At 38.6% G+C, this 26,592-nt stretch overlaps 2 protein-coding genes across 11 annotated transcripts in view, besides 2 other annotated features; one reads left to right on the plus strand and one right to left on the minus strand.

Annotated features, from left to right (window-relative positions):
• The window catches only part of SLC71A1 (solute carrier family 71 member 1), a 45,283-nt gene extending 26,572 nt beyond the window's left edge, over positions 1–18,711 (plus strand). For 3 of the 5 annotated variants that reach the window (NM_033055.3, XM_047427996.1, XM_017002084.2), the window contains 7 exons: positions 3,311–3,529; positions 3,807–3,920; positions 4,948–5,019; positions 12,499–12,611; positions 13,785–13,882; positions 15,830–15,993; positions 17,337–18,711. In NM_033055.3, coding sequence (NP_149044.2) covers positions 3,311–3,529; positions 3,807–3,920; positions 4,948–5,019; positions 12,499–12,611; positions 13,785–13,882; positions 15,830–15,993; positions 17,337–17,543 — 987 coding nt within the window. In that variant the 3' untranslated portion in view covers positions 17,544–18,711. The remainder of the gene's footprint in view (positions 1–3,310; positions 3,530–3,806; positions 3,921–4,947; positions 5,020–12,498; positions 12,612–13,784; positions 13,883–15,829; positions 15,994–17,336) is intronic. The other 2 variants (XM_011541957.2, XM_047427999.1) reach the window with 2 other exon arrangements.
• Positions 13,006–13,055: an enhancer, noted in NCBI's record as "active region_1371". NCBI's record gives its function as "activates an Ori minimal core promoter by ATAC-STARR-seq in GM12878 lymphoblastoid cells {active_cell/tissue: GM12878}" and the evidence as "EXISTENCE:reporter gene assay evidence [ECO:0000049][PMID:35858748]".
• Positions 13,066–13,215: an enhancer, noted in NCBI's record as "active region_1372". NCBI's record gives its function as "activates an Ori minimal core promoter by ATAC-STARR-seq in GM12878 lymphoblastoid cells {active_cell/tissue: GM12878}" and the evidence as "EXISTENCE:reporter gene assay evidence [ECO:0000049][PMID:35858748]".
• Positions 18,904–26,592, minus strand: part of SASS6 (SAS-6 centriolar assembly protein) — a 49,361-nt gene continuing 41,672 nt past the window's right edge. For all 6 annotated transcript variants that reach the window (NM_001304829.2, NM_194292.3, XM_047447889.1 and 3 more), the window contains 3 exons: positions 23,473–23,570; positions 20,870–20,964; positions 18,904–20,768 (listed from right to left, as the gene is read on the minus strand). In NM_001304829.2, the coding sequence (NP_001291758.1) occupies positions 20,662–20,768; positions 20,870–20,964; positions 23,473–23,570 (300 nt within the window). In that variant the 3' untranslated portion in view covers positions 18,904–20,661. The remainder of the gene's footprint in view (positions 20,769–20,869; positions 20,965–23,472; positions 23,571–26,592) is intronic.

The raw sequence follows: 26,592 nt of genomic DNA on the forward strand, positions 1-26,592 counted from the left end.
CTTTTGAGATTGATCCATGTTGATACTATAGATCAATAGGTTCTATTTTTGTCTCTTTTCCTTTTTTTTTTTTTTGAGACAGGGTCCTGCTCTATCCCCCAGGCTGGAGTGCAGTGGCATGATCATGGCTCACTGAAGCCTTGGCTTCCTGGGCTCAAGCGATCCTTCTGCCTCAGCCTCCAAAGCAGTTGGGACCACAGGCATGATCCACCATGCCCAGCTAATTTTTTTCTTTTTGAGACAGGGTCTCACTCTATTGCCCAGGCTGGAGTGCAGTGGTGCCGTTACAGCTCACTGCAGCCTCTGTCTCCCCTCTACCTCCCTGCCTCAAGTGATCCTTCCACCTCAGCCTCCCGAGTAGCTGGGACTACTAATTTTTGTATGTTTTGTAGTGATGGAGTTTCACCATGTTGCCCAGGATGGTCTCAAACTCTTAAACTCAAGTGATCTGCCTGTCTCAGCCTCCCAAAGTGCTGGAATTACAGGCATGAGACACTGCACCTGGCCAGTAGTTTTTTTTGATTGCTGTGTAGTGTATTCTTATCCATCAGTTGATGGACATTTGATTGATAGCTAGATGTTTGAAATTACTAGAATTTTATGTACTTGTTCAAATAATTGACCTTTGAAAATTGAATTGCTTGCCTTAAGCAATAGAGTTGCAAGTAAGCATTCTTGTGAAGTTTAAGTTCTCCATCCAAAAGTCAAAAATGGCATAGAAACAGAATAAAATTCCAACATTAATCTCTATGCTTTGAAAGAATATGGTCCTTTTCCTTTCCTTCCCTTCCCCTTTCCTTTCCTTTGCCCTTCTCTTCCCCCTCCCCTCCCCTCCCCTTTCCACTTTTCACTTTCACTTTCCCCTTTCCTTTTCGCTTTCACCTTTCTCCTTTCCTTTCCTTTTCTCTTTTCCCTTCCCTTCCCTTCCCTTCCCCTTTTCCCTTTCCTTTCCCCTCCCCTTTTCCCTTTCCCTTCTTTTTTCTTTTTCTTTCCTTTTCCTTTCCCTTCCCCTTTCCCCTTTTCCTTAAGCCTTTTCCCTAAGCCTTTTCCCTTTTTTAACCCTTTCCTTCCCCTTTTCTCTTCCCCTTTCCCCTTTTCCTTTCTCCTCCTCTCCTTTCCTTTCCTCTTCTCTTCTCTCCTCTCCTCTTCTTTCCCCTTTCTCCATTCCTTTTCCCTTTGCTTTCCTTTCCTCTTTCCTTTCCAGACAGGGTGTTGCCCAGACTGGACTCACTCTTGGGATCAAGTGATCTCCCACCTCAGCCTCCTGAGTAGCTGGGACTATAGGCAGGTGCCACCTCACCTGACTAAGAGTGCTATTTTTATGAAGTGTTTCCTGCTGTCACATCTGCTAATTTGTAGGCTGTTGTCCAGTAGGCTAGAAATGTCTGCGGTTAACAGGTTTGCTCTACTCGTGTCCTTTTCAACTTTAATCTTCATCTTCACCAGGCTTAAAAAAATAGACTTCCTCAGAGTTTTAGAGATGTTCTTAATTTATCTGTGATTTCATTCTTCCTAACCCTGCCAACTAAAAAGATTACCAAGCTCAGTTTTGTTCCAGGGCTTAACATATTATTCATGAGAACAGGAACCTCCAAGTCTTTAAGCTTTATTTCAGCTAGCCCTTCAGTATGTATCAAGATAAACGTTCATTTAATTTTAATATTGGAAAAGTCACAGTGAAATTGGATTTCCTTAGAGCAGTGGATTTTAGACTCCTTTCACAGAGAGCACTTAAGGGTTTATGGAGATGCCCTTAACCAAGCTTGTCCAACCCATGGTCCACAGGCTGCACACATGGCCCAACAGAAATTCATAAAGTTTCTTAAAACATTATGCAGTTTTTTTTTCTTTAAGCTCATCAGCTATTGTTAGTGTATTTTATGTGTGGCCCAAGACCGTTCTTCCAGCGTGGCCCAGGGAAGCCAAAAGATTAGACACCCCTCCCCTAAGGACCAGCATGACTGGCAGTCAAGGAGGGGTGTTTGTACAGTGCCCAGGCTCTCAACCCTTCCTCAACTAAAAGAGTTAAAAAATTTAAATAGGCCGGGCATGGTGGCTCACGCCTGTAATCCCAGCACTTTGGGAGGCCGAGGCGGGCGGATCACGAGGTCAGGAGATCGAGACCATCTTGGCTAACACGGTGAAACCCCATCTCTACTAAAAATACAAAAAATTAGCCGGGCGAGGTGGCGGGCGCCTGTAGTCCCAGCTATTCGGGAGGCTGAGGCAGGAGAATGGCGTAAACCCCGGGGGCGGAGCCTGCAGTGAGCCGAGATCGCGCCACTGCACTCCAGCCTGGGCGACAGAGCGAGACTCCGTCTCAAAAAAAAAAAAAAAAAAAAAAAAATTTAAATAGAGGCAGGGTCTTGCTGTGTTGCCCAGGCTGGTCACAAACTTCTGGCTTCACGCAGTCCTCCCACCTTGGCCTCCCCAAGTGCTGAGATTACAGGCATGAACCATCACACCCAGTCTTCTTAAAAAAATCTCTTTTACCTATGAATTTGCCAGTAGGATTTATTGGAACAGAGGGCTCCAAGGCTTAGAAAGTTTGAAGACAGTGTCCTGAGAGGCTATCATTTATTTTATTTTATTTTTGAGATGCGGTCTCACTCTGTCACCCTGGCTGGAGTGCAGTGGTGCTGTCATGGCTCACTGCAACCTCCGCCTTTCTGGCTCAAAGGAATTCTGCCACCTCAGCCTCTGAAGTAGCTGAGACTACAGGTGCACACCAGCATGCCCAGCTAATTTTTCTTTTTTCTTTTTTGATACAGACAGGGTTTCTCCATGTTGTCCAGGCTGTTTTTAAGGCAAGAATCTAATTCTTTACTTTTCCTGCCAAAGGAGAGAGTATAAGAAAAGTGGGGCCAGGCTTGGTGTCTCATACCTGTACTCCCAGCCCTTCGGGAGGCTGAGGTGGGAGGATCGCTTGAGCTCAGGAGTTCGAGACTAGCCTAGGCAACATAGCGTGACTTCCACCTCTATAAAAAATAAACAAAATTAGCTGGGCGTGGTGGTGTGTGCCTGTAGCCCCATCAGGAGATCTTCAGGCAGGAAGATCTCTTGAGCCTGAGAGGTCAAGACTACAGTGAGCCGTGATGGCACCACTGCACTCCAGCCTGGGCGACAGAGCAAGACCCAGTTCCCCCACTCTCGCCCCCACAAGAAAAAAAGATAAATGGCACAGGTAGGAAGAGAAAAGGGAGGGTGTGCAACAGAAGGCCTGACATAAATCAAGATTATGAAAGGAGTTATGTGGTGTTGAGGAAAAAAGTAGCCTGACTAATCTCTGTCTATCCTTAATTTATTGCAGGTTTCAGCAACATTTGCTGCAAGTTTAGTCACCAGTCCTGCAATTGGAGCTTATCTTGGACGAGTATATGGGGACAGCTTGGTGGTGGTCTTAGCTACAGCAATAGCTTTGCTAGATATTTGTTTTATCCTTGTTGCTGTGCCAGAGTCGTTGCCTGAGAAAATGCGGCCAGCATCCTGGGGAGCACCCATTTCCTGGGAACAAGCTGACCCTTTTGCGGTAAGTTTATACTTTTTCCTTCTCCTTGATAAAAAAGTGCATGATTCAGTGCAGCATTAATATTTTGTTGTGGATATTTCTTTAGGGAAAACATCTTGGGTTTTTCTTTTAACATTTTGAAATACTTTTCAGAATAGTTTGGGGAATATGAAATAAATAAAAAGGACAACTAGTTGTCCATGAGTACACTGCCAAAAGGAATCTCTGCGTATTCTTAAGAATAGTTCAGTGGTTTTGATAGAAAACCTTATATCAATCAGTCTTTTTCTTGTTCTAGTCCTTAAAAAAAGTCGGCCAAGATTCCATAGTGCTGCTGATCTGCATTACAGTGTTTCTCTCCTACCTACCGGAGGCAGGCCAATATTCCAGCTTTTTTTTATACCTCAGACAGGTAAAATCCTCTTCCACTAAGGTGGACTTTTCTTTCATTGTCTAGTGCTTTAATAAAAATATTTAATCTTGAGAGAACTGTAATAGAAGTGGCCTTTAAAAATGAATATCATTGGACTTGGTATAGTGGCTCACGCCTGTAATCTCAGCACTTTGGTAGGCCAAGGTGGGTGGATCAGCTGAGGTCAGGAGATCAAGACCAGCCTGGCCAACATGGCAAAATCCTATGCTTACTAAAAATACAACAACTAGCCAGGCGTAGTGGCGGGCACCTGTAATCCCAGCTACTTGGGAGGCTGAGGCAGGAGAATCACTTGAACCCAGGAGGCGGAGGCTGCAGTGAGCCAAGATTGCGCCATTCACTCCAGCCTGGGTAACAAGAGCGAAACTCCGTCTCAAAATTAAATAAATAAATAAATAAATAAAAAGAATATTATTTGGTCTACTAGACTTTACCTCCTATTCTGTGTGGCTGATGTTCCTTATGCATTTCTAATGGGGGTTATTTGGTATATTAAGATATTTGGCTTAGGGAGAAAGATAGTTTTCCCTGTCCATATAGGTGGTTTGAGTTTGTTGGCTATAGAATTGATGGGATGATTTAACCCCTTCACCTGCTCCAGCTTCTTTGTGATTTAGAGCATATGTAAGTAGAGCAGCTAGCCAAAATGAGAGCAAAAACAAGTATTTTCCTCCTTGACACTAGTCTCACTAGACGGAGATCAAGCCTTTAACCAATACATGTAAAATGCACAAAATACTGCAATATTTATTTGTAAAATGATTCTGAGTTCTTGATAAGTATCTCCAATTTAGTATATCCACATTGAGGGACCCACCATGGATAAGTAGGCATTTTTAGTATGTTAAGATATGTTGTATTTCCTCTGAGGAATTCTTTGTTTATAAATGAATTACATTTATTTTTTTCTGGCCCATTAAATGTTAATATACAAGTAGCTGCAGTGGTTTTCTATCTGGTATACATTTGTATTCATTAATGTTACCTTTTCTGGAAACCCTTCTAGATAATGAAATTTTCACCAGAAAGTGTTGCAGCGTTTATAGCAGTCCTTGGCATTCTTTCCATTATTGCACAGGTGAGTTTCTTTTTTTAGTTAGAGTGATGTCAGTGACCCTGGCTGGCCATCCAAACTGGGGCCTCATCTAGTGATGGTATCTTGGTGGAATCAACAAAGTCAGGAGTCTGAGGTTGATAGGTTCAGAAATTCAATTTGTTTGTGTAGCTAGTGTTGATCAGATTTTTGGGACTGACACATTTAATATAGGATATATAAACGTAAAAGCTAGTTTATTGATGTATACTAGGATATATGTCTGGATGAAGTTAGAAGTTTCATGTCTTGTAGTCCTTGTCCTATTTATTCACTCATTCAACAAATATTTATTGAATACCTACCGTGTGTCAGGCACTGGGGATACAGCAGTGAACTTAACTAAATTCTTGCTTTTGTAGAGTTTACATTCTGGTGGGATAAGACAGAAAATAAAAACACCAATGTAAACATATCAGATGTATTGAGAACTACAGAGAAAAAGCTAAGGGTCATATGGAGAGTGACTTGGGAGAATGGTCTTAAGGGCACAGGGGGCATGGTTGAGAAGACCTTGCTAATGCAAGGTGACATTTCAGCAGAGACGCAAAGGTATGAGGAACAAGCTGTAGGATTATCTGGAAGAAGAGAATTTTAAACAGTACAAACAAAATTCTCAGGAGAGACTGTAGCTGGCTTGTGTAAGAAACAACAGGGGGCCAGTGCGGCTCCAGTTGAGTGAACAGTTGAGAGCATCTTAGAAACTGAAGTCCAAGAGGTAGTGAGGGACCAGATCGTGCGGGGCTTACAGGTCCTCATAAGACTTGAGTAAGATAGGAAGTCATTGGTGGGTTTTGAGCAGCAGAATGACATGAAAGTGTGTATCTTGGCAGCCCAGTTGGTAAACAGTTGTTGTGTGATGAATAAGATATTAATCAACACAGGAATTTGGATTTTCTGAGGAGATATTTCATCCTGGCTTCCAAACTGTTTCTGTTTAACAATAAGAATACTATCTTTTTTCCAGTGACCACCATAATTCTCTCACATCACAGAACATTGTCCTCCTTCCTGTGAAAAAGCCCCACCCCCTTTCTTGCTATTTGGCTTTCTGTTTCTAAGACACTATGAAGACAATCTAGTCTAAGTTAATACTTTTTCTCACCTTAGATGTAATCTACTAGATTACAACTTAGTTTTATTCTAGGGTATTTTTAATTGACTCTTGGATGGTTCACCATTTCTCGAGTAGGATTCCTTCTGCAGGTCTCATGATTCATTCTGTTTTGGTGAGTTTAGCAACAAATTTCAAATTTAAATCCTATATGCCTCCCCAAGCCTCTGCACATACATATACTTGGTGTTGAGTATTAGTACTATTTCTAGCTTCAGGTTTGTCCTAAAAATCATCAGTCTGGAAAAACAATGCATTTAAATATTCATTCCTAGCCATGAGAAAAGTGCTTTTTAACTTTGGAGGAAAATATACTGTAGCCTTTATATAAAAATGGCTTTAAAAAAAGTTTTTGAGGCCAGGTGCGGTGGTTCATGTCTGTATTCCCAGCACTTTGGGTGGCCAAGGTCAGGGACCGCTTGAGCCCAGGAGTTCAAGACCAGCTCAAGCAACTTGGCAAAACCCCATCTCTACCAAAAAAAAAAAAAAAAAAAAAAAAAAAGAAAGAAAGCCCGGTGTGGTGGTGTGTGCCTGTAGTCCCAGCTACTCAGGAAGCTGAGATGGGAGGATTGCTTGATCCTGGGAGGTCGAGGGTGCAGTGAGCCACAGTTGTCCCATGGTACTCCAGTATGGGCAACAGAATGAGACCCTGTCTCAAAAAAAAAGTGTAAGGAAAATACACAGTTAGTATGTGTAGAACTTGATGAATTATCAAAGATTAACCCAACCTTGCAATAGATGTGATCAACCTGGGCATGAGTATCTTTTTCATACATTGCCAACATTAGATTTGCTAACATTTTGTTTAAGATTTAGATGAAGAGAGCAGACTAATACTGTAATGACACATAAAAGATTGATAGCTATAAGGTCTTAAGTTCTGTTTCTTACTTAAATGACCATGGGAGCTGTATGCATCTAATAAATGTAGTCAGTGACACTGCAGACCCAGTGATGAGTGGAGGGTGCTTTTGAGGGTATTTTTCCTCTGTTTAGCAGATGGCATCTGGCACTAGGTTACAAGATGAAAAACAGTCTCTGAGAGTGCAGAATCTGGCAGGGCAGACAGGTAAAGGAGAGGAATGTAGTTGGATTTGTATTGGAAAGATCAGTGCAGCAGCAGAGCCCTGAAGGCAGTAAGACCGCAAAGGTGCAAGCAACCCTCCAAACACCATTGCTGACACAGCATGACACACACAGTCCATGAGGAACAAGGTCCTTAAGTGACCATTTAGGTTTTGGTGCTTATGTAGAAGTAAGAATTAACACTTTATATCATATATGAGCTACTACATTATTACATGTATAGCCTCAAAGGTAGAAGAATGATCTTGTATTCTCATTTATGCAGAAATATACAATTGAGAATGACTTGTCCCCTGTTGACCTTCCATACCACTGAAAGACCAGTGTATTTCTCCCTCCTCTCCAGCAGCACGGAGCTGCTAATAGCTCTCCATTAATGCATGTTTGCTTTATTTCTTACCCACGTGCTTTTGTTCCTGCTATTCTTTCTGCCTCCCCTTCCTCCACCCTAAGTAGCCCTTTTCTGGGTCCCCATGCTCATGTGCGCATATCTCCATCATTGTACAGAATACAGTGTAGTAGAGATTTTATCTCTGTTTATTGCCTTAGTTTGTGAGCTCTAGCGGACCTCTGAGTAGATGATGAGGTCAGGATTATATCATATTCATTTTTGTCACCCTAGCACCCTGAACTGCCAGGAGGTGCTAAACTAAAGGTCATTGGTTTTTTTCCATAATGTTAAAAAAAAAAAAAACTTAAAAAATTAGTAGTAAGCACTTTAAAATTGGGAAGTGTTACGTGAAATTATAGTTATGTAGCTTCTCCCCCAAAATGATTAGATCTGGTAACCGGGTGTGGGCCAACCTTCCAGCGAGAGCCAAGTAGTTGCTGTCCCCTTTGGAACCTTTTCTTTTTGGTTTATCATCAGCCCCATTACTTCCTGGGCACCGGTACGTATAAGAGTTCCTAACACTTGCACTAAGTAAGTGTTTACATGAGAACATCAATATAGTTCTACACATTTCTTTTTTCTCAGTGTTTTCCTATCCAGCCCTCTCTGTGGGGGTGACTCCCACACTTACTCTTCCAGTCCAGTCCCTGAGCTCCTATATGACACATTGGCTGGGTATCTCAGCCTTAACATGGCCAAAATTAAAATCTGGGTTCCATCCCTTGCCCGCCACCCCTATGCTCCTCATCTCATTCAGTGGCTTCACCACCGCCAGGTTTTGGGGGCCAGAAGCCTTAGCGACATTCATGAATCCTTTCTCCCTAACCTTACATTCAGCCCATCAAATGATACTTCCTATCACCTCTCTCTCCAAAATATATCTTGAATCAGAGCGTTTCTGATATTCTCCATTAGTAGGAACCCAATCTGAGCCGTGGCCATATCTTCCATCTGGTCTCTCTGCTTCCATCTTGCCTCACTATAGTTCATTCTGCACTTGGCAGAGTAATTTTTGTAAAATGGAAATTTAATCGCATCTTACCTATAACTCACTTTCCTTTGCAACCAGAATAAAATCTAGACTCCTTATTATGTCATTTTCCTCCACTCTCCACATGGTTGAGTATGTTCTGTTTCAGTCCAGGGCCTTTGCACTTGCTGTCAGCCTTGCTTGGGGTGTTCTCTTTCCCCAGATCTTTGCATAACTAGGTCTCTCCCCTTAGTGAGCTCTCACTTCAAAAGGCCTTCCCTGGATCCTGGTTTAAGCAGCATCTCCATCACACTGCCCTGTTTTATTTTGTTCATAGCAGCTACAACCTGGAATATCTTGTTAAATAAGCAGGCTCATATGCATCTTTCCTCCATGAGAAGGTAGTCCGTGTGTTGATGGATACTTTGACTTACTCACCCATGCGTCTTCAGGCCAAGAATAAGAGTTGGTCTTATTAGGAATTTGGCAAATATTTGTTGACAGACTAACCAAAGCTGATGTTAGTGTTAGCTTAGCTGTTCATCAGCTATGCCATCTTGCTTAAGTCATTTAACCTTTGGGACTCAGTGCTGTCATCTTCAAAATGAGAGTTAAATTAAGGGACACCAAAAATTTTTTCCGTTCAAGAACACTTATATATTAAGTATTTTGTTCCATTATTATTAATATTATTGAGAATATTATAACATTTAGAATTATGCATGCTTTCCATAAACACTTATTAAGAACTTACTGGGTGCTGGGGATATAAATGTAAATAAGAGAAAAGTTCCTGCCTTCAAGAAGAAAATCAGTGTTCCCAGTTACAGTGTTGTAAGTATCGGTGTCTTTTAGGGCTTTGGGTCACAAGATAGGCTGTAGGGGAAGGAGTCCAAGAGGAGGTTCTCACAGCAGTGGGCCTGCTGCAGTAATTCTGCACATAGGACGTTACCCCAGGAAAGGGGGATTGGTGTATCTCATTGTTTCCAATTTTAATGACTCATCTCATGGCCTTAAGAAAATATATTCTTGGCCGGGCACGGTGGCCCACACCTATAACCTTAGCACTTTGGGAGGCCAAGGTGGGTGAATCACCTGAGGTCAGGAGTTCGAGACCAGCCTGGCCAACATGGTGAAACCTCATCTCTACTAAAAATGCAAAAAAAATTTAGCTGGGCATGGTGGCACGTGCCTGTAATCCCAGCTACTCGGGAGGCTGAGGCAGGAGAATCACTTGAACCTGGGAGGTGGAGGTTGCAGTGAGCCAGCATTGCGCCACAGCACTCCAGCCTGGGCAACAAGAGCGAAACTCCATCTCGGGGGGAAAAAGAAAGGCTGGGCACGTGGTGGCTCACGCCTGAGATACCAGCACTTTGGGAGGCCGAGGCAGCTGGATCACAAGGTCAGAAGTTCGAAACCAGCCTGGCCAATATGGTGGAACCCTGTCTTTACTAAAAATACAAAAATTAGCAGGCATGGTGGTGGGCACCTGAGTCCCAGCTACTCGGGAGGCTGAGGCAGAAAAATCGCTTGAACCCCGGAGGCAGAGGTGGCAGTGAGCCAAGATTGTGACACTGCACTCTAGCCTTGGCAACAGAGCGAGACTCCGTCTCAAAAGAAAAAAAAACCCAAAAGAAAAAGAAAATATATTCTCCAGTTAATCTTATCTATAAAAAGGAAATGAGGCTAATAATGCATTCTAAGCCTTTTTTATTGAATTGGGATTTATTCTTTGAGAACAGCTTTCCACAAAGGGGAAGATAGTCATTTCTGCAGATAAGTACTTACTGGCTAGATGGGTTGGTTGAAGGGCTATGAGATGACCGCATTTTATAAGTACTTTCTGGTAATATTAATGATCTCTGCTTGAGAAGTGTCAGCTTTCTTAGACTAGCATTCCTGAAAGAACACGTGCTCCAGGGTACATGGCTGGCCCATGCCATCCTGTTCCCACTGAGCTGGGAGTTGATGCTCAGCCTTCTTCACTGTCCTGTCTCTTGGCTGAAGTGCCAGGGATTTCATCATTAAGTGAAATCTATTTTTTAACAGCATTTCTTCCTTGTAATGCTTATCATCATCTCAATGAATGATGAGAACAAATGTTTTCTGCTCTGTGAGTTCCTAGAGCCATATAAAGAATCACAGCTTTTTAGATGAAAGTGCTACCTTCCGGGATGTTCTTAAAAGTAGTTTCCCAGAAGTTCTTCAACTTTGCATTATAGTTCCCTGTTCTTCTCAGACAGTTGGAGGCCACAGAGCTTTGGGTATACTTACAGTTTCCTTTTTCATAATTAATTGAAAGCCAGTCTCTGATATAGTCCACAAATAAAATCATTTTTAATTATTTCTAACCCTAATTAGAATCCTAATCATTTCTAATCTTTCTGATTATTTTTTATAATATTGGCCACCAGTTCCCACCCACAAGTCATGGGTGACTTGAGATGGTCTCTGTCACCCAGGCTGGAGTGCAGTGGTGTGATCATGGCTTACTGCAGCCTCGACCTCCTGGGCTCGAGTGATCCTCTGGACTCAGCCTCCTGAGTAGCTGGGACCACAGGTGTGTGCCACCAGCCTGGCTAATTTTTCAATTTTTTGTAGAGATGTGGTCTCTTTATGTTGTCCAGGCTGGTCTCAAACTCCTGGGTTCAAGCAGTCCTTCCATCTCAGTTCCCCAAAGTGCTGGGATTACAGATATGAGTCACTGTGCCTGGCCTAAATGTTTCTTTCAGTTGAAGTTTTTCTCAGCTAACTGCTGGCTCTGGGCAAGTTTCCTTTTCTGGTTTGGTTGCCGAAGAATATAATTCTACATGGAACTCAGTCTTATACTCACGTGATTTAAGTGAAAGTCTTAGACAAGAAAGCTGTGAGTTCTAATTGCTCAAAAATCCTTGAATGAATCATTTGCTTTTCACTGGCATATTTGTGATTAAATTCTTAAGTGGCCATCTCAATTTAAAGAATTCAAAACTTATATTTTATGAGTTTTAAAGTGTCAGCCCATCATAAAATAGTGATTTCCTGAATTATTTTTACTTGTCTATGGACTTACTAGCTATCTTATGTAGTATATTAAAAACGTTAGTTAGAATAGCAAAAAAAAATTTTCTAATGTTCCCAAATCACTGCTGAACTTTGTTGACTTTGAAAGAAAAAGGAGGCACAAGAAAACCCACCCACTGATAATATTGTTTATTAACCGCTGATTATTGCCAGGCACAATTCTAAGAACTTTATGTAAATATATCTCATTTAATTCCCATGACAAGGTTTTGAAATAGGTGCTGTTATCCCCATTTGCAAAGAGACAAAAGTGAGGCTCAAAGTGAAGTGACTTGCTGAGAGCCACACAAAGCCAAGATTATGATCCAGGCTGTTTTTCTAAAGTCTGCTGTATAGTATACTGCATTTATCCCAAATCAAGCTTATTAATTTACTGTTTATAAAAGGCATCATGGTTTCAACAACAGATTAACTTAGGTAAATAATATATGGGTAATCATTGTTCTGTTAGTTTTTCTTTAGTTGTGGAAATAAGCATTTTAGACTAACTTGGACCTAAACAAGCTTTAAGGCTATTATGTAATGGGGATCTCCAAATCATTAGTTAGAACTTTTGACCCTTCCATTTTCAACTACTGATTTAAGTGGTCCTCAGTAGAAATGTACTGAATAGGAAGTTTTATCTTTCAGTTTTCTAACTCTCAGTCTGGATCTATGTCAGCAGAGGGACTTTTCATCTGCTTATGTGACCTGGACTAGTGATCTCAGACATATTCAGGGCAATTATTGCTGAAAATCAGCCAAATTGTAGAAAAGTGCCAATAGTCCTTTTATAGTGTAGATTGAAAGAAGTCACTTTTTAAAACTTTATTCTGATAAATCTTTTTTTTTTTTTTTCAGACCATAGTCTTGAGTTTACTTATGAGGTCAATTGGAAATAAGAACACCATTTTACTGGGTCTAGGATTTCAAATATTACAGTTGGCATGGTATGGCTTTGGTTCAGAACCTTGGTAAGTATAAATATTTTAATGTTAATATTTTTAATTTTGGTGTTAGCCCTTGTGTTTTTATTTGCTTCTCAACTGAGGGGTAGACTGTAATCTGTCTCATACTATGCTTTTTATCTTTCAAAATGTGTCTAATATAAGTCTGCCACTTGTATATTTATATGTTCTCCTAGAATGGCTTGAGGATTAAAAAGGTGACCTTTTATAGCTAAATGACAGGCTGAATTTTTGAATGAGATTATACAGCTTTTGAATCTTTAAGGAGCATTTAATCTAAATCAGTCCGTTACTAGGAAAAAGTATGTAATCCCATAGCAACAAGGCCCTGAAAGTTATTTACATTTTTTGTTTTTCTGGTCAGGAAAAAGAAAGTTGTATAACCAGTGATCATTACTGATAGCAAACCAGAAGTGAAAACAATCCAGTTATTTTGGTGCCAGCTTCATGCTGTGTCTCAGCTTTTCTGACCAGTCGGGTTTCCTGCAGGGGACTTGAGTAGTGACGCTTGTTGTCAGGCTGCCCACGTAGATAGTATTATTGTGCTCAGGCATTATGGCACTGAACTCCATGGTTTGCACTAATATTTCAAACAACTGACTGCCTCGTCTCTGTTTGGACTTGGATATAAGCAAGCATCAAGAGGGTGATGATTTGTTCTCCAAACTAGCCTTTGCAAAGAGGTGCTCACAATTGAAATTACCTAAAACATTTCTTTTAAACATCAAGCCAGGAACATCCAAGTTACTTGTTCTTTACAATTTAAGGATTAGATCAAATCAGCGATATCTTCACAAATCCATCCATAAGAACTTTGCCAAAGACTTGTTGGCTTCATGTGTTTGGAAATATTTGATGATGTTTCGTCATCTATATTATACATTATCCTCAATATAACCTCTCAATTGCCTGTAGAAATAATACCCAGCACATTTTACAGTTTGGAACATGATATCCCTATTTTACATTACACCCTCACAGCACTCTTGTGAATTAAGTTGCTGTCTTTGTATACAGGGTCAGATTGTTAAGCGACTTGCCCATAGTCACCTAGTAAGCAAGTTCAGTTCTCCTTTTCTCTACAGCCATTTCACAGTAAGAATTACTTAATTATGTAGTTTGACTTTCAGGTACAGTGGAGAAGAATTTACTGTTTTTGTTTTGCTGCTCTCCTTATAGGATGATGTGGGCTGCTGGGGCAGTAGCAGCCATGTCTAGCATCACCTTTCCTGCTGTCAGTGCACTTGTTTCACGAACTGCTGATGCTGATCAACAGGGTGAGTTGATAGGAACTAGCGATAATTATTTAAAAGTACAGAATGTTCTAATCCTGTGTTCTGTCTCCTATGTACTGAAACATAAGTATATCTTCAGGGTAGAGACTTTTAAAATTGCTTTTGATATAAACAGGAAAAGCAGATTCTAGGGTATTTATCCTTAGGTAGATACATATTCCCTTTTCTCTCACTTAGAATATGTGGCTTATCTGTTCTGTTCATAGAAAATTTACTGATGAGGCTGGGCATGGTGGCTCACACCTGTAATCCCAACACTTTGAGAGGCCGAGGCAGGCAGATTGCTTGAGTTCAGGAGTTGGAGACCAGCCTGGGCAACATGGGGAAACCCCATCACTAAAATGCAAAAATTAGCTGGGCAGGGTGGCGCATGCTTGTAGTCCCAGTTACTTGGGAGGCTGAGGTTGGAGGATCACTTGAGTCTCAGAGGCGGAGGTTGCACTGAGCCAAAATCAGGCCAGTGAACTCCAACCTGGGCGACACAGTGAGAGACCTTGAGAGACCTGTCTCAAAAAAATTTACTGATGAATGTTGGCCACAGAATATTAACTAAGCATTAAGTTTTTGCTGTGTTGTGCTAGACACCTTGTGGGATATATTCATAGACCTTTTATGAATGTTGTCCCAGCCACTTGGGAAGCTGAGGCAGGAGGATTACTTGAGCTCAAGAGTTTGAAGCTAGCTTAGGCAACACAGCAAGACTCCCATCTCTAATAAAAAAAAAAAAAGAAATCATATAGTTTCAGTCATCTGAAGATATGTAACACAGCAACATCTTTAATGTCATATGCTCTCTTTTTTTTTTTTGGTGGGAACATTTAATTCTTGGGATGCTAACAGATGACAAATACTTCTTTGAAAAGGATATGTTTTGTCTAGTCATAAGGATAAAAGGGGCACTGCAAAACAGTGGCAGTTGTCACTTGGTTGATAAATGAGGAAGGAAAGGCCTATGGCCAAAGCAAGTTGCATTTTAAATTAAAGATCCAAAAGAGAGAAACAAAAATCAAATGCTGTTAAAACAGTGTTATTGGCCGGGCGCAGTGGCTCATGCCTGTAATCTCAGTGCTTTGGGAGGCCAAGGCTGGTGGATCACCTAAGGTCAGGAGTTCGAGATCAGCCTGGCCAACATGGTGAAACCCTGTCTCTACTAAAAAAATCAACCAGGCGTCGTGGTGCACACCTGTAATCCCAGCTACTCGGGAGGCTGAGGCAGGAGAATCACTTGAACCCTGGAAGCGGAGTTTGCAGTGAGCCGAGATCGTGCCACTGCACTCCAGCCTGGGCAACAAGAGTGAAACTCCGTCTCAAAAAAAAAAGTGTGATTTTGGCTGGGCACAGTGGCTCAATGCCTGTAATCACAGCACTTTGGTAGGCTGAGGCAGGAGGATCACTTGAGTTGAGTTCAACACCACCCTAGGCAACAAAGTGAGACCCCATCTCTACAAAAAGTACAAAAATTAGCCAGGTATTTGAGCCCAGGAAGTTGAGGCTGCAGTGAGCCAAGTTTGCGCCACTGCACTCCCGCCAGTTGACCCCCCCACTTTATTTTTGACTAAAAGGGGTCTTAAGTACTTGCTTGGGGACAGATAAATTTTAACATTTGTAGTTGTGAAATTGTGACTGATTTTTAACCAGCCATGTTTTGAAGGCTGTAATCTAGGGAAATAAAGTAGTTTTGCCCACTTGTTTCTATGTGAGACCTATATATGGGTACATCAGAGCTCATGTTTGCATAGGACAGCTTACTACACTTTGTAGAGCTGATAGCTTCTAAATATTAATAGTTTTTAATGACATTGCTATAAATTGCTAGTGTCTGATAAGAAGCTTGATTTTAGATTAAGTGATTTCATATTTGTACTGGTTCTAAGGTAGGGAAAAAAAACCAGGTAGTTTACTAAGTGATAATTTGTTTAAACAATGTAGGTGTCGTTCAAGGAATGATAACAGGAATTCGAGGATTATGCAATGGTCTGGGACCGGCCCTCTATGGATTCATTTTCTACATATTCCATGTGGAACTTAAAGAACTGCCAATAACAGGAACAGACTTGGGAACAAACACAAGCCCTCAGCACCACTTTGAACAGGTAATTCTCATTCAACATGATCAAATTGTATGGTTCATTTGGCTAGATTAAAGGCTACTGGTTTTTGGTCATGAAAGCTTTTATGTGAGATTCTATTTGAGATTGGATAAAATGCTTAAAAACCAGAGTTTAAGGGACTGTGTTCTTCTACATACCACCTTGTGAAAATTGGCTGTGCATATTTTTTTTCCACTTGAGAATGAAAAATTTTAAGTACCTAGTTTGTCAATGGCATATGTAACAAACCATTTCTCTTTACTACTAGTCTCTTTTGAAACTTTTCTAATATCACAGTTGTGTATGTTAACTAACTTTTCATACAAAAGGCAGGCTTATGGTAAATAACCTTTGTTCACTGTTTGCTATATTTCCCTCTTTTCAACTGAAAATTAATGCCAAACAATGCTGATCATTTTGGCCAATATTAGCAGCTCATCAGTTTCCTGGCTTATTTAGCAGAGTTCTGTACTTATCTTCCAACCCACTAAGACTACTTTTAAATAAAAGAATGTTTGTGGGCTATACACAAAACTGGCAGTGCAAGCTTCTGCTAAGAATGAATGTAATTTTGGGCTAAAACAAAGGTCTCTTTTTCTTGGTAACCTGTGTTTTTCTCACTTCCAGTCACTTGAAATTATAATTACCTTCTTGAAACAAAGAAATGGTAATTTATTTTGCTACTGTAGTAAATACTGTATGCTACCTGATTTTATTTTGTTTTTTGTTGTTTCTGAGACAGTCTTACTCTGTCACACAGGCTGGAATGCAGTGGCACAATCTTGGCTCTCTGCAACCTCTATCTCCCAAGTTCAAGCGATTCTTTTAACATCAGCCTCCCGGGTAGCTGGGATTACAGGCATATGCCACCATGACCGGCTAATTTTTTTTGTATTTTTAGTAGAGACGAGGTTTCACCATGTTGGCCAGGCTGGTCTCGAACTCCTGACCTCAAGTGATCTGCCTGCCTCAGCCTCCCAAAGTGCTGGGATTACAGGCTTGAGCCAACACGTGCAGCCTGATTTTATTTTTGAGATCTTTCTATAAACGTTTTCCCCTTGGACTAACAAATTAATCATAGAATAGCTGTGTTCACATTTTGTGCTGAAAGTAATGATGTAATATTTTCGCATAGGCTGTTTTGCCAGTTGTTATTCCCAGAATTTTATAGAGAATGTGATAGTATCTCTTTTCTCCTAAAAAGGGAATGCCTTTTATAATTATGGCTTTAATAAAGAGAAGAGCAATTAGCTTGTAATTCATAAGTTAATACTAAAAGGTATGTAGTTTCTCCTTATGAGTAAAAGTATTTGTGTAAAAATCCTAATTACTTTATTCTTCCTCAGAATTCCATCATCCCTGGCCCTCCCTTCCTATTTGGAGCCTGTTCAGTACTGCTGGCTCTGCTTGTTGCCTTGTTTATTCCGGAACATACCAATTTAAGCTTAAGGTCCAGCAGTTGGAGAAAGCACTGTGGCAGTCACAGCCATCCTCATAATACACAAGCGCCAGGAGAGGCCAAAGAACCTTTACTCCAGGACACAAATGTGTGACGACTGAAATCAGGAAGATTTTTCTATCAGCACCCAGGTCTTAGTTTTCACCTCTAGTTCTGGATGTACATTCCATTTCCATCCACAGTGTACTTTAAGATTGTCTTAAGAAATGTATCTGCATGAACTCCGTGGGAACTAAAGGAAGTGGGAACTTAGAACCAGACAGTTTTCCAAAGATGTTACAATTTCTTTTGAAAAACCTTTTGTTTATTAGCACCAATTTCTTGCCACTAAGCTATTTGTTTTATTATACATCCTTTAATTAAAAACTATATATGTAACTTCTTAGATATTAGCAAATGTCTCTGCTACCATTTCCTTAAGGTGTTGAGCTTTAACTCTATGCTGACTCAGTGAGACACAGTAGGTAGTATGGTTGTGGACCTATTTGTTTTAACATTGTAAAATTTTGAGTCAGATTTTAATATTGTAAAATCTTGGGTCAAATAATTCAAAGCCTTAATGCAGATGCACTAAAACAAAGAAATGGTAAATGAATTGTTTGCATTTAAAAAAAAAAACTCTTAAGAAAACTGTACTAAATCTGAATCATGTTTTGAGCTTGTTTGCAGTACTTTTAAACATTATTCACTACTGTTTTTGAAGTGAGAAAGTATCAGCCATTTAGCATTTAAGTTGGGGTATTTAGAGCCTGTAATCTAAATGCTGGCTCAAATTTATTCCCCAGCTACTTCTTATACCACTATTCTTTTAATGTTTGCATAATCATAAGCACCTCAACACTTGAATACATAATCTAAAAATTATATAGTAAAGCTGGTAGCCTTGAAAATGTCAGTGTGATATCTATTATGTAGATAAATATATATAGTGGCCTTTCAGGACTGTCACAGTAACACTTTATTTACAGAGCTAATGTTTGTCCTAAATTTTCAGGACCCTAGAGGAGAGCTTTATACAATTACCGATGTGAATTTCTCTAAAGTGTATATTTTTGTGTCCAGTTATATTATTTAAAAAAGTGTTACTTTGTAAAAATTGTATATAAAGAACTGTATAGTTTACACTGTTTTCATCTTGTGTGTGGTTATTGCTTAATGCTTTTTAAACTTGGAACACTCACTATGGTTAAATAAGGTCTTAAAAGAAATGTAAATATTCTGTTAATAAAGTTAAATATTTTAATGATTTTTTTTTTAAAAAAGTCTTGATCTGTGAGTTCCTACAGGGTCTGTTTTGGCTTTGTTACCATATTTTTACAGTAACAAATCAAAGCATTATTCATTCTTTCTTTGCATCCATTTCTTTTCCCTCACTAAAAAATGCTCTTCAAGGAAGACAAGAGGAAAGAAACAAAAATGCAGTATGCGTTTTGAAGTACTTGATTTTCAAAGTGTAGATGCTGCATAATAGTTTATTAACAAAGCTCAAAGTTTACAGAAATAACATTAAATGCAACACTTTTTGATTATTAACACATGTACAATTTTACACTGCAAAACAATTGCAACTAAAAGTTTAGGAGGTAAAGAATTAGCACACTTGGAAGTCTGTATACATTTAATACAAATTTGCAAGATATCAGAATGATCTCTCCTGAAAATTCAACTTTCCTTGTGTATATATATGCAAAGAGATACCTATATTTTAAAAAAGAGAGCTACCTGTATGTCATGCATCCCATCCAAAACATGTCACAATATTTTATATATATTACATAGTATTTACAACAAAGCCCCTTCCATAGTATTTACAATAAAGCTCCTTCCAAAATCACCAAGAGGCTTCTTTCCAGAATAGCAAGTGCTTTCAAGTTACTGTACCAAGTATTCTCACTAATACAGTAGTGTATCTAAATGGGGGAGGTGGGGGAGTATCAACTGCCTAATATTAGTTACTGAATTTTCAGATTAGATCCCTAGTTTAAAGACACTTGCAATTGCCAATAGTTTCAAGATACTGGCTTCGTAAAAAAAAAAAAAAAATTAGCAAAGATTCTTTCTTACCATGGGACTCAGTAATGTTATTACATCAATATCTTGAAATGTTTCTTCATCTGTGTAATAAAGTAGTTGAAAATAATTTTAAATTATCACATGAGCATTAGTACTTTATAAAAATTGATCTAGAAGACTCTTTAGAGAATGCTACCAGGTATTGTTTGTCAATAAGAAAACAAAATGAGGCCCTATGATTCTAGGTGAATTTTAAAAAAATTTTTCCCCAAGGAACAATTCTTAAAACTTTCAGTTACAGGGAAGAGAAGAAAATTGTACCTTCTAACAGTTATTTGTTTTGCCTAGTTTATTAACATTGAAATCAACCCAAGTTCTGATACTATAAAAATAAATGAATATTCATGATATAGTAGATTTAGTAGTAGTACCAAGTTTTAAAAGTCCACTGATACAGATTTAACTGCATAATAAAACTACAAATTGAGAAAAACTAGATGAGTATAAACATTTAGGAAGCACTGAAGTTTTAAAAACTTGTCAGCTCAAATGACAAAAGCACTTAATCTGGTCACATAAAAACTGTCCAAATTATTTTAAGTATATCAAATTTATTTGATTCATCACTAGCAAATTTAAATGCTTCAAGGAAAATACGCTATGAAGGCTTAATTCATTTCAGTTATTTAAGGTAAATTTAGGACTTTTCCCTTTAAATGTCATCAATAATATATCTCAAGAGGTAATCATTTTCCCTCATGATTTTCAGGTGTTGAATTTAAAAGTTTTACCAATGAAAGTGATAAAATGAATTAGTATTCTTTGGTTGCATACTATGAGGTTATGAGCAGGTTTTAGTTTACCCAGATTTTTAATATGATCAGAATCTCCCTCATAAGGATCAACTCTTTCCTTAGAACTGAATTTCTAAAGAATAGCTTAATAAAATTCATATTATTCTATAAAACGCCATGTTCACAAACCAAAAAATGTCATTTACTCACAATCTTTACCAATCCCCAAGTACAAATTTGTTCCTATATTATAAACTGCCATAAAAGCAGTACTTAAAGTATCCAGTCTTTAACAGCTCAAGTAAAATTTGAAACTTGCTATTTGAGGATCTGGTTTGTGTTGACATATTTTTTAAGCACCTGAGTTTCTAAAATACCAATAAAAAGTAAAACATGACACTAGAATTAACTGTTTGGTAACTGCCCAGGGAAATAGGCTGAAGACGCAGAGGGGAGCGCTGTGGGTTTGGAAGATGTATGTAATGCTCCTAAAGTGCCATCTCTCTGATGGTCTGCAAATGAGGACAAAAAAAGGTTACTGGTATTCATTAAGTCTTCATACATTAAATTTAATTCAACTATAAAGTACAAAAATCCAGAAATCCCTGCTTACCTGAATTACTAAATAGGTTCTGGCTGAGTCCGCGTAAAGGAATGCTATCTTCCCTTTTCTTCAGGTATTTGGATTCCAACCCTACATTTTCACCACTTAAAAAGAAAATGGTAATAACTTATTTAACAAAGTCTTTATTAACTTTGAAGGTTTATCTCATATGTATACATATATATAAGATAATGTAACTAAGTTCTATTTATAGCTTAGCTTTGTTCAGAACACATTCTTCACTGGTTTCTTAAGCAAATGGTAATTTTATACATAAACCAAAGTATCCTCAGTAAAGAGTAGATTATAATAAAATTTTAAGAGCTGGGATAAGGATGGTGGGAAAAATGAAAATTCTACAAGTGCTATAAAAATTTAAATACTAGCACATAAGTGATACATGACAGAAAAATACGTGCCTTGAGAGTAACACTATTAATTTCTAACTCATATTTAAAATAAGATTTCTTTTTCCTTTGACCAAAAGCTCTTCGAAATTTTCTAGTGCTTCAAAGTAGTCATGATCAAGTATTAACACACATTACACAATAAATTCTGATCAAATTAATACAAATGAGAAAATCTGGGGGAGAAAGAAGGGCATTTCTGTGTTTCCCCTTTCTACCACTGCCATCCTTTCTAAATACATCCAGTGTTAACGGTTTCCCTAGTATTACTTGTAATAAGAAGTTAAAGGCTCTTGCAAAACAATGAGAATAAATCAATCCTTAAAATTAAATGATGGTTGCTCTTGACCCAATTTTCAGAAATAAGTGGGTGAACAGACTTTTTTTCTATTTTATTTTTTTCTTTAAAGTTTGATACCCGGTGCCACTTTTTGCTAGCTGACAAATAAAAGAACCAGAAAAAACTCAAAATCACTGAACAGTCCTAATTTTATGGACAGATGGATATGTTTGACTTCATACTACAAATACGATTGTCATATTTTCTGCTAGTAAAATTGCTCTGTCTATAATGATTTGATTTTTTTTTTTTTTTTTGAGACAGGTTCTCGTTTTGAGGCCCAGTTTGGAGTGCAGTGATGTGACTGATCATAGCTTACTACAGACTCCAACTCCCAGGCTCAAGTGATCCCTCAGCCTCCCAAGCAGCTGGAACTACAAGCATGTACCACCATGTCTGGCTTTTTTTTTGGTTTTTTTCCTTTTGAGGCAGGGCCCCACTCTATCACCCAGGCTGGAGTGCAGTGGCAGGATCATGGCTCACTGCAGTCTTGACCTCCCAGACTCAAGTGATCCTCCTGCCTCAGCCTCCCATGTAGCTGGGACTACAGGTGTATGTCACTATGCCTGGCCTATGATGAATTAAATATATCAAACATTATGATATTCTACCATTAACAGGAATTCAAGGTGCTCTCCCTTGTGAACAAGTGAATTTTGATCTTTTTTAAAAATGGAGGCTCACAAATATTAACTTTTTTACATTATTTTTTCTATTTATTTTATTTGAGACAGAGTCTTGCTCTTATCGCCCAGGCTGGAGCACAGTGGCACAATATCGGCTCACTGCAACTTCTTGCCTCCTGGGTTGAAGCGATTCTCATGCTTCAGCCTCCTGAGTAACTGAGATTACACGTGCCCACCACGCCCGGTTAATTTTTGTATTTTTCGTAGAGATGGAGTTTCACCATGTTGGCCAGGCTGGTCTTGGAACTCCCGGCCTCAAGTGATCCACCCACCTTGGCCTCCCAAAGTGTTGGGATTACAGGCATGAGCCACTGTGACCAGCCACAAACATTTTAATTATTTTAACACATCATGATCCAATGAATAAAAGCTAGAGAGCTGGGGATAAGAACCCTCTTTGAGCTATGTTAGTAATTTAGTTTGTAATGTAGAACTAGGATGGTGATAGCTCATGATAATGAGTATCAGCAGACAGGCCTTAAAGCCATTAAATTTAATAAATAACTATATTAGTAGTAATAAATTACAAACATGAAGTCTATCCAGAGAGAAAAGTTTGCCTGTATGAGTGGTTTGATTTAACCACAAGTCATTGAATCAACAGACTTCACTATGTAAACCCTGTTTAAAAAACAGGGAATGGAAGTCGCAAAATGGCATTAAAGCTTATTTTTGTTATCTATGGGAAAATCTCACAAACCTTTTTACTCATTCTCTGTATATTTCTAGCATATTAACTAGCTGGTATTTTAGATTAGATTATACTGAAAGCAATAAATCAGAAAAATGGAGAGCTTCCAGGGACAGACATAGCCATATAAGAAAACAAAAACAGCTGACCATGAGGAATTTTTAAAAATTTCTATGAATATGTCTGAGAATATTTGAAAGCCCAGTCTTCAGTTATGTAGGAAAATCTCTTTCAACAAACGAAATTTTACTATCTAAGCACATCCCACATTAAAAAATAATGAGTAGATTGTTGGAGGAGGAAACAGAAAAAAGTATGAGAAATCTCTTTTTTATAGCTAAGAGTAATTCAACTTAAATTCCAATGATCAGTAACTTGAAATGTCTCAGGTAAACAGGTGGGCATCACAGCTCTCAAGCACTGATAAAAATTCTGTAAGATGGCCTTCAAAATTGCAAACATTAAATTTTATGTCATTAAGCACTTACTTTTCCTTATCAGTTGAGCAAGGCATACTAATAGTTGCTCCTGACTGAACATCTCCTAGTGATGCATTTGGTTTTGTAAACTGCAAATTAAACTGAACCTGTGAGAAGGAAAAACATCTCATGTAACTGAGTTATATAGAAGTAGACAGTTTTGGGCAGAGGGGGGATTTTAAACAGAGCCTTGCTCTGTTGCTTAAGCTGGAGTAAAGTGGCATAATCACGGTTCACTGCAGTCCCAATCTCCTGGGCTCAAGCGATCCTCCCACCTCATCCTTCCAACTAGCTGAGACTACAGGTACACGCCACGAAGTCTGGCTAATTTTTTATTTCTTGTAGAGACGGGGTTTCACTGTGTTGCCCACGCTGGTCTCAAACTCCTCGGCTCAAGTGATCCTCCCGTCTCAGCCTCCCAAAATCATGGGATTACAGGGATGAGCCACCATTACCGGGGTGAATTAGTTCTATATTGAGATGGGTGGTTAAATTTGTTTTCTGATAAATCTACACCATAAAAATACAGGCTTTGGCTAAGTGTGGTGGCTCACGCCTGTAATTCCAGCAGTGTGGTAGTGCACACCTGTAGTCCCAGATATATGAGAGGTAGGAGGATCACTTAAGCCCTGGAGTTTGGGGTTACAGTGAGTTATGATCACATCACTGCACTCTAGACTGGGCAACAGAGCAAGACCCTGTCTATAAAAAAAAAAAAAAAGCCTGCCATGCTTTAAAGAAATATAAAATCCAGACAATCAACAATGTAACACTCACAATGCTCCACTTATCAAAAATTACAAAGACAACAATAAGATGTCATACTCAGAAGAAAAATTAGCCAACAGAAACAGATTCAGAAATGGTAGAAATTATAGACCAGGGACACAAATGTAATTGTGTAAGAACTTAATGGAAATAAAAAGTATGAGAAAATTGAAGATATAAAAAAGAGTGAAAAGAAAATTCCAGACATAAAATAGTCAATATATAAAATGAAAATTTCTCACTGAATAAATTAACAGCAAATTATACACTGCAGTAAGAAAAGACTAATAAACTTTAAGACACAGCATCAGAATCTACATAAAATGAAATAAATAATAATGAAATAAACTAAGTCTCCCTGGGAAAGTATCATGTAATCAACCACGTATAATTGGAGTACCAAGGAGGAACACCAAAAAAGAGAACAAAACAGAAAAAGAAATGTGAATAATGACTAGAATTTCCTAAACTGATAAAAACTACAAACCCACCTATTTAAAAACTTCATGAAAACCCCAATTAAACAATAATACACAAACTCCACACCAAGGCATAATTAACTTGTTGAAAATGAATGATAAAGAGAAAATTTAAAAGCACCCAGAGAAAAAGGTCACTTTATATAAAGGAAACATTATATATAAACATGACTACTGACATCTTGCCAGAAAGTATTCAATCCAGGCAACAACGGAATAACATCTTCAAAATACAGATAGGAAAAAAACTTGCCAACCTAAAGTTCTATATTCAGAGAAAATGAAGTCAAAATAACAACATTATAAGACAAAAGAAGAATTAATTCCTCACAGACCTGCATTGTAAGAAGCCTTAAAAACCTGTACTATAAGAGATCTTAGTTATTGAGGAGAAAGGAAAATAATACCAGATGAAAATTTAGATCTACATAAAGGAAAAAAGTGTGTAAATAGTAATGTATGGGTTAACCAAGGAGATTTTTCTTCATTGCTTAATGTCTTTTAAATATACTTGATTGTTTAAAGAAAAAAAAAAAGTAGAGCTTATAACAAAGATACAAGTAAAATTTTGACAACAGTAGCAAAAAGAAGGGAAGAAATGGAAGTATATTATTGTAACAGTCTTATTTTACATGGGAAGTAGTATAATAATATTTGAAAGTAGATGATGAAATTGTATATTATAAACTAGAGTAAACACAAAGAAAATAAAAGAAAGCCAAGAGTAAATATAAAATGAAAAATGAAATAAAATGCACAAAACTAACTGGAAAGAAGGCAGGAAAAACAGAAAAGGGAGGCAAGAAACAGGACATATAGAAAACAAATCATAATATGGTAAAACTTATTATATGCATTACATTTTAAATTATTTAAGCCAGAATGTCAGAATGGATTCAAATGAGTCAATTATAAATATCTAAAAGAAATCACATTTAAAGACACAGGCTGGAAAATAAAAAAATAGAAAATGATACTTCATGTAAATACTAGGCATAAGAGAGCCAGAATATAATATTAATATCAAGGTAGATTTATTTTTCTGCTGAGATATGAAAAAAGAAACTCCTAAGCGTCAAAGAGAGGGAGGAAAATCCCTTTCTTTTCATTTTTCCCTGTGTTCTTTCCTGCTCCAACTCCCAGGCTACTATATGGAAGCAGAAGTGCCAGAGGTAATGGTGACAGCAACAGTGGCGAGGCGATAACTAAAACTTTGAAGGAGGGGAATCATATTTTCCTACCAAAGGCACTGTGGCCTCATTAACAGGGGAAACATCTTCCCTACTTTTCTACTCTCTTTGTCCTCTTGCTGCTTGATAACAGATGGAGATACAATTACAGGAACTGCATAGCACGGAAAGGAAACCTAGGCCTATATTTTCTAGCCAGAAGACCAGGAAGGGGGACCCTAAGGGCACAGAAAATTCTGAGGAAATCATGGAGAGAAAACTCAAGGGAGAAATCCTATAAAGTGGTATATAAACTCTTAGGCTCACTTATGAGCTGTACGAATCTGACCCTAATCAGCATACCAAAGGCTTTGGGAACCGAACTATGGGGTAAACTACTGCCAAGGTCACAGAATAGCACACTTGAGACAGATCCAAACAGCATGACATGACAAAGTCTTTAAAATTTGAACTGACAGCCAGGCATGGTGGCTCACGCATGTGATCCCAGCATTTTGGGAGGCTGAGGTGGGTCAATCACATGAGGCCAGAAGTTTGAGACCAGCCTGACCAACATGGTGAAACCCCATCTCTACTAAAAATACAAAAATTAACTGGGGGTGGTGGTGCACATCTGTAATCCCAGCTATTCGGAAGGCTGAGGCACAAGAATTGCTTGAACCCAGAATTGCAGTGAGCTGAGATTGCACCAC

The sequence above is a fragment of the Homo sapiens genome, chromosome 1, assembly GCF_000001405.40.
Source record: "Homo sapiens chromosome 1, GRCh38.p14 Primary Assembly".
Classification (NCBI taxonomy): domain Eukaryota; kingdom Metazoa; phylum Chordata; class Mammalia; order Primates; family Hominidae; genus Homo; species Homo sapiens.